This window comes from Homo sapiens, chromosome 6 (genome assembly GCF_000001405.40).
Source record: "Homo sapiens chromosome 6, GRCh38.p14 Primary Assembly".
Lineage (NCBI taxonomy): Eukaryota > Metazoa > Chordata > Mammalia > Primates > Hominidae > Homo > Homo sapiens.
Window position 1 is genome coordinate 63,657,544 of NC_000006.12, and position 13,177 is coordinate 63,670,720.

Sequence of the window (13,177 nt, forward strand, 5' to 3'; positions counted from 1 at the left end):
TATTTAATATTCATTAAGTGGAAGTGGATCATTAAAAAAGTCTTCATCTTCATCTTCATGTTTAGTAGGTTGTGGAGGAGGAGGAAGAACAGGGGCTAGTGGCTAGTCTTGCTGTCGCACAGGTGGCAGAGGTAGAAGAAAATCGATGTATAAGTGGAACTGCGCAGTTCAAACCCATGTTGTTCAAGGGTCAACTGAATAAATCTCTCTTTATATATAGTCTGAATTAATTTTCCTATTTGTTTATTTTGATCTTTCTCATAGTACTGTGTGCTTTCCCCAAAGGTCAGATTATTTTTGGTTGGTTGTTAATATTTACAGTGAATAGGAAATCTAGTCAAGTTTTGCTGTGGGATAAGTAGGCTTTAGATAGATAGCCTGAGGTTATTTTGGGGAACCAGGGTGAGAAGTACCTTATCATTAGATGGTAACTGTCCTATTTCCTTCAGTTCATTCAATTTAAGTTCAGGGTTAAGAAAATACTTTCTCTTACTTTGAGTTCAATGCTTGGTTGTAGGCCTTGCTGGGTATTCAAGTAGGGGAAGAGATGAGGTTGACCTCTCAGTATTAAAGTATTAAGGCTTTCAGTTAATCCTTATGTCTAGCCCAGCTCACTACTTATACCATCTATCATTTCATTTTTAGAGATTCTAAAAGTTAGACAAGGTTGTTCACAACTTCTTAAGCTTCAGCTCCTTTGGACTCTAGGCTATGACTTTTTCATGCTCTGTTTTAGTAATCTTTTCTGTTCAGTTTTCTCTTCATCTCCTAGAATTGTATTTAAATCTTTCATTTGCTTTTGGTCTTCTTTTTATTCACTTTGTTGTTACAGGTTTTTACCTTCTGTTTCTTCTCATTTTAATGGGATTTGGGGGTGGGGAGAGAAATAAAGATGTACAAAGTCTGCCATATTGAACCAGTGACTCTTTTAATTAAGTCATAATAAATATAAAATTTCTGGCATCCAGTAATTTTTACTTAGGGATTTTGGAACCCTCTCCGTTGTTACCTTGATGTTTATTTCTTTTATGGTGTGTTTGCATTACTTTCCTTGCTTTCAGATTTTTTCATCTGTTAGTAATATTAATTTTGTGTTAGTAATAAAGCTATTAACAAACTTCACTGAGTTTGCAAGGTTTTCCAGAGAAACAGAACCAATAGATTTTGTGTGTGTGTGTGTGTGTGTGTGTGTGTGTGTGTGTGTGTGTGTGTGTTTATAACGAGAGAGAGAGGGAGAGATTGATTGATTGATTTTAAGGAGTTGGCTTATGTGATTGTGGAGACTGGCTGGCAAGCCCAAAATCTGCAGGGTAGGCTGGCAGGCTGGAGACCTAGGGAAGAGTTGATGTTGCAGTTTGAGTCCAAAGGCATTTTGGAAGCAGAATTTCTCTTATTCAGGGGACCTCCATTTTTGTCTCTGAAGACCTTTACCTAATTGATTGTGGCTGACCCATATTGTGGAGAGTAATCTTTTTTACTCAAGTCTTTTGGTTTAAATGTTAATTATTTAAAAAATACTTTCACAGCAGCATTTAGACTTGTGTTTGACCAGATATTGGGGAATCATGGCCTAGCCAAGTTGACGTATAAAGTGAACAATCTCTCACCACAAAAAAGTTGATGTGAGTTAATGCATGTTAATTAATTTGATTTAGCCATTCCACAATGTATACATATATCAAAATATGTTGTACACCATAAACATATATTATTGTCAACTAAATAATTAAAAAATCAAATTAACCATCACAGTAAGGTCCCAAAAACTCAGAAGATGATAAATTATTCTTTGAACTGCTATTTTATATATGTTGTCATGAAACTAGTGTTAATCTTAGGATTTTTGAGAAAGTGATTTCAAGATGAGTATTGTAGGCAGATGCAGCTTAAAAAGAAAGCACCCAGCTCTTTTCTCTTAAGGGATTTTATATATAAAGGAAGTTGAAAAAATAGTTAAAATGTGTGGATGTTAATGTACCAAATACTGTGCAAAACTACTTTGCTAGCTCTATCTTACTAAATCTTCACGAAAACCTTAAGAGCTGTAGATACTACAGGTTGAGTATCCCTTACCTGAAATGCTTAGGACCAGAAGTGTTTCAGATTTTGGATTTTATTTTTTGGTATTTGCATTATACTTACTCGTTCAGCAAGCCAGCCTAATCTGAAAATCCCAACTCCAAAATGCTCCAATGAGCATATCCTTTTGAATGTCATTTTGGTGTTCAAAAAGTTTTGTATTTTGTATTTTGATTTTTGGGTTAGGGATACTCAACCTGTACTATTAATCTCATTTTATAGCCCAGTAAACTGAAGTTTTGAGAATGGTTAATTTCCTGAGGTTATTAATATGTAAGTCATGGTACATAGATTGCAATCATTCTAAATTTTTTTTGCCTTCAAGTACATAAGTTCTGTTAAGATCAGTGCTCTAAATCGGTTCTCAGATTTCATTTAGCTTTGTAGTCAGCAAGATTAGGATGTTATTTTGTTTTTGTGTGTGTGTGTGTTTCTTTTTAGTTTTGTTCTTGAAAGAACAAAGAAGATAGTTCTTTTTCCTGTTTAAAGAATATATGTGTGTTTGTAGGAAAGATGTGTGAGTGCCCAAAATGGCGCTTAGTTATTAAAGACCAAGCAATTTAGACAGAAAAATAGTCATTGGCCAGTGATTTTGTTAATCTTGAATACCAGAGACGTGCTCTAAAGATGTGCCTTTGATAAATGCCAACAGGTAGACGTGTACTGCAAGCTACTTGAACCCTTCTTTATCAGATAAAGTTGATTCAGGATGGAATGCAACTAGATATAAGAAAAAACCTCTAACTTCATACTCATTTTACAGTTGAAGAAATTGTGGTTTAGGAATAAACATTAACTTGGATAATTTTTTTGTACAAATTAGCTGATTTTGACTTTATTCATTTATTGAATGTCTGTTATATGCTAGGTAATATGCTAGGCAGTGGACATACAATGTTGAGTAAAACAAAACTTGATGATCTCTTCTTAATGGAGCTTAAAGTTTAGTATAGAAATAATTTTTCTTCTTATTTTCCCAGGATGTTTAATAAGTCTAGTTATTTAACATAAACTTACTGGGAGAGGTTGTCTGCCATGAGTTTTGAGTGTTCTTGAGCTTTCTTGCTCAGCATGGCAAGAAAGCAAGGTCCTGACCACTCTTTTCCTGGACCATTTCTCAGGGTCATAATTGCAGCAAGCAGCATTGAAGGATGACATTACATTTGCTCTCTCACCCCTACCTCTTAACTCGACAATCAGCAGGCTTGCTTACTGCTCACTATAAAAGGCAATGCCTTTTCAACAATGTTGCTCTCCTGTATTTCAACCCACTGTGTTTGTAGGCATCTGTATAGGCATATCTGTGTTGTCCCTGTGGAACTTGAGGAGACAGGGTTATCTTGTCATCATGCTGCTTGCTGTGCCATGGGTGACAGAGTTCTTTGTCTTTTACCCAGTACCCTTGTGTCTTCTGTCAGTAAACATGAATCAGTAATGGGCTAGTTCATTAGTTTGTGAGTAGGGTAAAAAATCCCAGACCCTTTACAGTTCTTGCAGTTCTCAACATTACTGTGTTTAATCCCAGGAATTATTCATGGAGGTTTAGCCATACTTTAATTATTAAAGATATTTAAATAATTTACCTCCAGGAAGGCAGGGATTGCAGCTATGTATGTTATTCATACCGGCACTAGAATAGTAGGCATTTAGTAAATTTTGACTGGAAAAACGCACAAGAAAAAAGTGGGACCAGATAATGAGACTAGAAGTTAAGAAAATAAAATGTTTGATGCAGGTGGGGTACAACTTTGCCTATCAGATTTATAGCAATTACTATTGAAGAGGAAACATTCCAAGGTGAAGAATACAATGTCCTGAATGTAAAAACAAATTTAGTATCTAGGAAAAGGAAAATAATTTTTGACACTAAAACTGGAAAGAAATTTCAACCAGTGTGATATAAAAAAATCTTTAACATAATTTCAATGAACATAGGGCTTTTTCTTATATCCCTCAATATATATTCCAGTATGAGCAGTATTACAGGGGCTAACATCATGGTCTGACTGATCCAATCCCAGGTAGATTTTAAGTTATCTTTCAAACAGCCTACCTTGGATATCAGTTCTCACTAGATTTTTTAATATATTGATAAGAAGATGAGTTATATGATACTATCTGAGAACTGTTGAGAATGTAATTAGCCTTTTGTTTTCTTTTGCCCTATACATAAGTTTTATTGATCACCAGAGCTGGGTATGAGATTGCATAAATTTAGGCTCTGATAGGAGTGTTTCTTAGAATAGGAGGCTGTTCTGCTGTCCTTGTTGTAGAGCAGGGGTCCCCAGACTGTGGGCCATGGACTAGTACCAGTTTGGGGCCTGTTAGGAACCCAGCTGCACAGCAACAGGTGAGCTGCGGGCCAGTGAGCATTACCGCTTGAGTTCCACCTCCTGTCAGATCAGCGGTGGCATTAGATTTTCATAGGAGCGCGAACCCTATTGTGAACTCTGCATGTGAGGGATCTAGGTTGTGCTCTGCTTATGAGAATCTGATGTGTGATGATCTGAGGTGGAACAATTTTATCACAAAACCACCCCCTCATCCGTGGAAAAATTGTCTTCCATGAAACTGGTCCCGGGTGCCAAAAAGGTTGGGGGCCACTGCTGTAGAGGACAGGGCCAAAATTTTCCTCAAAAAGTTATTTTGGGGTCCTCTTTAATGCCTTAAATAGACAGGAGAAGCTCCACAGCTTCAGACACAAAGGAAGATCATTTTGGTATAATTTTTGTTTTATAGCCCACATTTAAAGTAAGAACTAGCTGAGTAAAATTCATCAATTTTATTTTCTTTAGTTCTAGTGATTTTTCTCGCTGTTTTCTTCTAGTCATGACAGGATTGCAGAATCCCTTGTTGCCATTTTTACTATAGTTGCTGCCTGGATTCTTTTGGAACTCTGTAGACCTGTGTCTTCTCCCCTTGTACTCTTTTCCCTTCCATATTTATTGCTTAGTTGGAGGATCTTCTCAAAAGATTTCTGATCTGGATCTACTGGTATTGGCACTATTTTCTGCCATCTCTTCCTCCCTAAAATACTGTCTTTCCCTAATTTTGGTCTTTGGTCATAGGTTTTTTTATCATGTCTTTAAGTGAATCGTGAATGACAAATTAGTTATCAAATATGTGCTTACATAACAAGAACGATAAATTGTCATGGAATGATTACATGGAAGTTTCCTGAAGTATGAGAATATCCAAAATGGTGACATTGTTTAAAGCATAATTGATGTCATTTCTATTTTCCTGCTAAAGCTAATTTTCTATAAACAGAGTCTGAGATTAGGATGAGAGCATTTTACTGGTTGACAACTCCAGTTGGTACCAATCTCAGAAGATACAGTGTGAATAGTCCCCTTAAGTTGAGTGGACAACAGCCTGGATAGTTTAAGGAAGTGAATAAAAAAATAATTTTGATATAAAGAATATCAAGGATCCTTGAGCAAATGTTTTCTTAACCTTAGTTTTGACCTCCTTTTCCTTTGTCTAATTAGCCTCATAATTACTAATTTTTTTCTGTCAGGAAGCAAAGTAAATAATAAAATCTCTAAGGTCTTTGCTATCTTTTGAGGACACTGATCAAAAAGAAATTCTGATGAAAGATAGAGAGCTGCATCTTGATTCTTACGGGATCTCAAGATGAGACTGGCTAATTTATAGTGGCCCAGAAGTGTGATTACTTGTTTCAAGGCCCTATCCTTGGTTCGCCTTCACTATCCTAGAAATAGGATAGCTTCTGTACCCGCCAGCTACAGAAGCTGAATTTCATAATTCCTTGGCAGTGGCAGATCCTTGTTTTTTTAGAGAAGTAGGAAAGCTGGCTACCTAGATTTCTCCAAATCATAGACCTAGACCTCCTTAGCCTCCCTGGCTGTCCATTTCTCATTTCCTCAGCCTCCTGTCTGACCCCAGAAACACTTTCTGTACTCCAGACTTTATATTATTTTCCTAGTCTCTGTTGCCATCATGGATTTGCTTCCCATAGGTTGTAATTTACTGAGTCATCATCTTGACTCAGAATTTTTGGCCTTGGTTTTAGTTAGGATTACACTCAGCTAACAGTGATAGAAAACTCCAGATAACAGTGGTATAAAGAAAGAAATTGCAGTAGCTCAGAAGGAAGTGACTGAGAGCTAGTATGGAGTCGCACAGTGCCAGGGACCCAAGCTCCTTCTACCTTGCGCTATTATGTGTGATGACTAATTTCACCTTTATTGCATAATTTGAGATGGCCCCTTCAGCTATTAGATATTGATTCCACTCAATAAAAAAGGGGAGGGAAAGGTAATATCTCCTTCATTTAAAATTGTATCTTGAAAGTTGTATGTTCATTTCTACTCACATCCCATTGGCCACACCTTAGTAACCTCATCTATCAGTAAGGTAGATTGAAAAGTGTCATTTTTTTTATGGGTAACCATGTACCCAGCTAAAAAATAGGAATTCCAGTAAATGAGGGAGAATGGCTGAATGGTTATTGGGCAACAGCTAGCAGTTTCAAGTACAATTTCTATAGTTCAGTCTGTGAGGAATCTGAGATCAGTACCTTTTCCTAGTTCATTGGTCATCCTGGGACCCAGGTTTGACTACTAGGCTTTTTTTCAGAGCACATCCTGCCTCACTTGTCAAAGACTTCTAGACTGTATATCTGTATTTCCTCCCTAACAAGTGGAACTTGGGAATCAGATAAAGTCCAGTTCTCTGTTCATAGAGCATGATCATTTGCTCGTATCAGAAATTTTAGAGGGAGATTCAATTCTTGTTTTACTCTGAAGGAGATGGGTGTCAAAATTGCTACTTGTGTATTGGAGATATTTCATTAAGGTAAGATAACCAAACTTTTTTGATTGTGTAAGTTTATATATAAGACATTTGAGTGCACACCAGTATTTTTACGTGTATTTATATTACTTGTCTTACTGTTTTACTGTATTAATGTATTTTGTATAACAAATACAGTAGATATTAAATATTTTAAAATGTTGAGCCATAGATAAAATATTTATACTTTTCAAATTATTAACTAAAATTATTAGTTGTATAAGAACTTACTTGGAATGCATTATGATTGCACATGCTTAATTAGTTTTGGAAATTTCATCTTATTTTGATAAAATTTTTTACATATCTGGTTCCAAGTTGAGCTTGATACTGGGTTTTAATGGCTATCATAGCTGAAAAAGATAACTCGATTATACATACATTTAAATGGAAGAAATTTATTGTAGTTATTGTACAATAACTACAATAATAGAAATTTATTGTAAGTTATAATCTTAGTTTTTTTTGTTTTAAATACAGAAAAGCTTTTATTTTAGTTAATTAGAACATTTCTGCCATCTTTCAGTGTGCTTGTTTTTTAAAACTACTAGGAAGTGGTTACATTAAATAATTATTACTATATGAGATCAAAATTCACTGAACTTTTTTATTTGGGAAAATTTTTAAATGTCCAGATTAAAAACATTTTTTAAGTGCCACATTTCATTTTTTAGCCAGATAATACGTAACAATGAAAACATACCTAAACATCAATTTTCTTAGCCCGAGTTTTTTCTTTTTAAAGTAAGAAAAAGAGTTTCTTTCTTATCACTAAAATATCATTTTATCTAGAAGGGACAGATTAAAGGTGTGTATTTTCTCATATGACTTATCACATCTACTTAGAAAAGGCCAGCACGTTTCTAACACTTGTCTCATTTGTAGAACATTTATTTTGTAAACCAAAAATGTGTAATTTATTAAGTATAATAGCTCTTTTAAGTCCTTTGCTATGAATTAATGGATAATTTTTTTGTGGCATAAAGATTTTAATAATCACTTCCTGTTTCATTAAAATTACTGTTTCGCTTTGTGGTTTTTTTTTGTTTTTTTTTTTTTTTTTTGAGACAGAGTCTTGCTCTGTTGCCCAGGATGGACTGCAGTGGTGTGATCTTGGCTCACTGCAACCTCCGCCTCCGGCTTCAAGCAATTCTTTTGCCTCAGCCACCCAAGCAGCTGGGATTACAGGTGCCTGCCACCACACCTGGCTAATATTGTTGTCTTTTTTAGTAGAGACGGGGCTTCATCATGTTGGCCAGGCTAGTTTCGAACTCCTAACCTCAAGTGATCCACCCATCTCAGCCTCCCAAAGTGCTAGGATTACAGGCATGAGCTGCTGCACCTGGCCTAAAATTACTGTAAACAGTCTACTGTTTTTACAAAGTATTTTTAGTATAAAAGGAACTATATTTATATTAATGACATTCTGTAACAATGCAAAGTGCTGAAGGCAAACAAAAGGGTGTCAACTCCTCTCTACTTTATGGAATTTTTACTCTTTCAGTATCCTTCCTTTTGGATAAATTGACTGACATGTATTCATCAAGGATACTAGTGGCAATCTGATTAAATACTAGTTAAGTTTGATTTCTTTTTAAAATTTAGGTAGCAGTTAATCATAGATTGATTGTCATGTCTACCGCTTTAGTTATACACACCCCCTTAGGAAATGATTTGCTTAATGTATAAAGTCTAATAAAAGCTGCTATAAGGATGTCTTTTGAAGGAGTGACCAATTTAGAGGTAGTACCTTTTTAAGGTATACTGACTGTTTTTTCATGTGTTTCTCCATTAAAGAGCTTTGCTGAATACCTGACAAACTTTGACTTTTAGTCTTCATGAGATCAGGGAACACCTAATGAAAGTAAATATTTGTAACTTACTCTGGGTACTGACATTATTCTTGAGTTCATCTTAGTTTCTTACGTATATATATTTACATATATATATGTGGCATAAAGATTTTAATAATCTTTAATATATATATATTTGCTTCGTGTTTGTCAGCATTTTTTTTTTCTTTTAAAACATTCCCTTATATTGTAGAGTCATTCCGCGGTATCCATAGGGGATTGGTTCCAGGACTTCTCCCTGCCACAATACCAGTATACTCATATGTTCAAGTCTCTGGTATAAAATGGTGTATATTTGCATATAACCTGTGCACATCCTCCTATGTATTTTAAATCATCTTTGAATTATACCTAATACAATGTAAGTGCTGTGTAAATAGTTGTGGTGAAGTATTCTTTAGGGAATAATGACAAGAAAAAAAAGGCTGTACATGTTTCATACAGACATCATTGTCCCCCTCCTTTTTTTTTTTTTTGAGATGGAGTCTTGCTCAGTTGCCCAGGCTGGAGTGCAGTGGTGTAATCTCAGCTCACTGCACTGTCTGCCTCCCGGGTTCAAGCCATTCTCCTGCCTCAGCCTCCCAAGTAGCTGGGATTACAGGCACGTGCCACCATGCCCAGCTAGTTTTTGTATTTTTAGTAGAGACAGCATTTCACCGTGTTTGCCAGGCTGGTCTTGAACTCCTGACCTCAAGTGATCTGCCTGCCTTGGCCTCTCAAAGTGCTGGGATTGCAGAGGCGGGGTCTCCTTATGTTGCCCAGGCTGGTCTCGAACCCCTGGGCTCAAGCAATCCTCCTACCTTGGCCTTCGAAAGTGCTGGGATTACAGATATGAGTACCATACTCAGCCTTCCCAAATATTTTTGATATGCTGTTGGTTTTATTCACATATGAAGAACCCATGGATTTGGAGGGTTGACTGTATATCCTTTTAAAAGACACTTTAAATATGTTTTGGAACAAAGTAGACTGTAAATGAGATATATGCTATTTAGATACCTGGTTAAGGATACTTGTTATTTTAAGCTTTAAAAAAATTTTTAATTTAATTTTGTATTTTGAAAATTTAAAACATACTGAAAAACAAAGTACAGTATACTCACATTTAGTCATCACCAATATTCAACAGCTGTTAATATTTTGCTATATTTGTTGTATTAATTTATCAGTTTACCAGTTCATCCATCCAGTCTACCCATTTAGTTGAACTTTATCATGTATCTTCCCAAAAAGGACTTATATATAACAATACCATAACTACACCTAAGAAACAATTTCCAGGTATCATCTAATATCCTGTCCATGTTCAAATTAGTCATTTGTCCCCAAGCTATTATTTTCACCCGGTTTGTTCAACTCAGGTTGTAATCAAGGACCTAGTTTGGCATTTAGTTGTATTTCCGAAGTCTCTGCACTCCTTTTTCCATTGATACATTTTGAACAGGTAAGACCAAATGTCTCTTAGCAACATCCTGAGTTTTAGATTTTTTAAACTGGATTTTCTGCAAGTTGGAAATTAGGTTTAAAAACTTGATTAGAGTCAAACATATTTGGCATTCGGAAAACTTCATAGGTGAAGCTGTATAATGTCACATCTTAGAATGTTTATCATCTGACTCTTGATGTTAAATTGGATTACTGGGTTAAGGTAGTGAGAGCAAAATCTCTTCTTCCTAAATACTTGAGATGGCAAGTAATCTGCACAGCGATGCAGCCTTGGCAATATGAAAATATTTATTTCCTCATCAGCCTTTTTCCTAATGGTTTTATGCATCCATTGATGATATTCGCTGGAGTCAGTTGTAGCAAAATGATGGCTTTCTAAATCTAACTTTTCTTTTACATTTATTTGCTGCATTCTGGTAAGGGAAAGTTTTGTTTCATTACCTGGTTGCTTACAGTTCCTACTGAAGAGGCAGATTAGAAGGAAAGAATGAACATTTCAGAGTTAGGAGTTGGAGGAATGATCTTTCAGAGTAAAGAGTTTTGGTGAAATGATCACTGCTAATGCCAGAGGTGGCAAATAATTTTTTTGGCTTCCTCCTCCCTCCCCCTTTTTTTTGAGACAGGCTCTCTATTGCCCAGGCTGCAGTGCAGTGGCGTGATCATGGCTCACTACAGCCTCGACCTCCTGGGCTTAAGTGATCCTCCTGCCTCAGCTTCCCAAGTAGCTGGGACCACAGGTGTGTACCATCATACCTGCTAATTTATTTTTTATTTTTTATTTTTGTATAGATGGGGTCTCTCCATGTTGCCCAGGCTAGTCTTGAACTCCTGGGCTCAAGTGATTGTCCCACATCGGCTTCCTAAACCTGGGATTATAGGCTTGAGCCACTGCACCCGGCCCTCTTTCCTTTTTGATGGTTATAATGAGTTCATAGATTAAAAAAATATATATGTCACAGTGCTTTTTTCCTTAAGATGCTCAAATTTTTTTTTAACCCAATCACCTCACAATGTAGTCAGTGAGATGTACTTTTAATTGTGTGTTCCATTGCATAGTTTTGTTACTGTTATAGAGGCAGAATGCTTCTAAAAGTACTTGCTGATTTTTTTTCATTCTGCGATTTTTAATTTTGGCCTTAGGACCATATTTTCCTCTGTTACGTGTATAATTACAATCAATTTCAGTATAAGATTTCTTGATATGCAACTTCAAAAAAGCATGTGAAATATGTAAAAGGAGGTCAGCTTGGAAATTAACTGATCGGTTGTGAGGGTTTGGTAGAAAATTTTTCCCTTATCTTAAGGCTGAATGTTGATCATGCTTTAAATTAAATTTGATACACACTGGTGACAGGAAAATTGTCAAATAAATGACCTTGATTAGTGGACAGATCAGTCTTGGCTTTAATACAGAAACATTCTTGTGATGATTTAGGGAAATAATTATTGTAAATAAATCTTCAAGAAACTGACATTTAAAAAACTATATTGATAATTCTTCCTTTTTAAAGCAGTATAGTGAACATAATTTAGCTTTTAACTGTTGATTTAGTAGTCTTGGGAAACCAGTGATTGTATTATTACTTATTAGCAACATCCTTAGGTACTGTTTTTGTAGGTAAGGCTTTTGGTCCCTGTATTAACTGGGCCTGGGACAAATACACTAGGAAAAAAATTGCTTTTGAATGATGTGTTTCTCGTCTTTTTATAATACCGTCTTAGGACCTTCTAGTTTATCTTTCTCAAACATCTAAAATATTCGATCCATTCGTCTAATTGTGAGAGGCCAGGAAACTTGAGTTATTAGAAATATGTGAAATAAAAATAAGGGACTACACTCTTAAAAAGGTGTGTATATATGTAAAACACATGGACAAATAAACCATATTAAAGTAGTTTTTCTCTGAGGGTTTCTATATACTTGATTTTTCTTGAGGAAGGCTCTAGAGTTGGAAAGTTAACTGAAATGAACTTGATGTAAGGGATTACCCATTCTAAACTGTTCATAAGAGGCCAGAGAAACTTATGGAAGATAACAGGAAGCATTTACTGACTTCTAAACCTACATTATAGAATGGAGCAAGATACATTTTACTGCTGTTTCAAGGCTGAATACATATAATAATAATTTTTTTCTCATTAAGTTATGACCTTTACCTAGGTATGTTTATCAGAATTGTGTTTTCCAAGTTGTAGTAATTCTCTTATGTGTTCCAAATTTATTACAGAGTTGACATTTTTTTTTCTATTAAGGTTCATATCTTTAATCTCTTTAATATACTTGATGAAAGTTCCTTTTATAGAACCGTTTTTATACTCTTAAAAGGAGACTGTGATTCTTAGGCATACACCCTGAAAAATGCTACTAATTGGATCTTTTTGAGTGAGCAGCTTTTTTTGTAGTTATTTGGTTATTCCATGTTTGGATGCTTCCTTCTCATCTGTGCTTTCTAAACTGTCATCCTAATTCTGACTTCTGCATGGGTTAGTCAACACTATGTGATGGAGTAGAGGTGTTTTTTGTTTTTTTGTTTTTTTGCTTTTTTGAGATGGAGTCTCGCTCTTAACGCCCAGGCTGGACTGCAGTGGCGCTATCTCGGCTCACTGAAAGCTCTGCCTCCTGGGTTCACGCCATTGTCCTGCCTCAACCTCCCAAGTAGCTGGGACTACAGGTGCCTGCCACCGTGCCTGGCTAATTTTTTGTATTTTTAGTAGAGATGGGGTTTCACCACGTTAGCCAGGATGGTCTCGTTAGCCAGGATGGTCTCGATCTCCTGACCTTGTGATCCGCCCAACTCGGCCTCCCAAAGTGCTGGGATTACAGGCATGAGCCACCGTGCCCGGCGGAGGTGTTTTATTCTATTTCTTTTGATTGCTGAGGATAACTTCCTGATTTGAGTCTAGTTGAACATGGAGGTTCTCATCTGTTGAGATAGAGCCATGATATTTTTGTATGCACTCATGCATTTGTTCATTTAAGC

General features: G+C 35.9%; 1 protein-coding gene across 10 annotated transcripts in view; it reads left to right on the top strand.

Moving 5' to 3' along the window:
- The window catches only part of PHF3 (PHD finger protein 3), a 90,210-nt gene that overhangs the window by 21,742 nt on the left and 55,291 nt on the right, over positions 1 to 13,177 (top strand). The window lies entirely within an intron of this gene.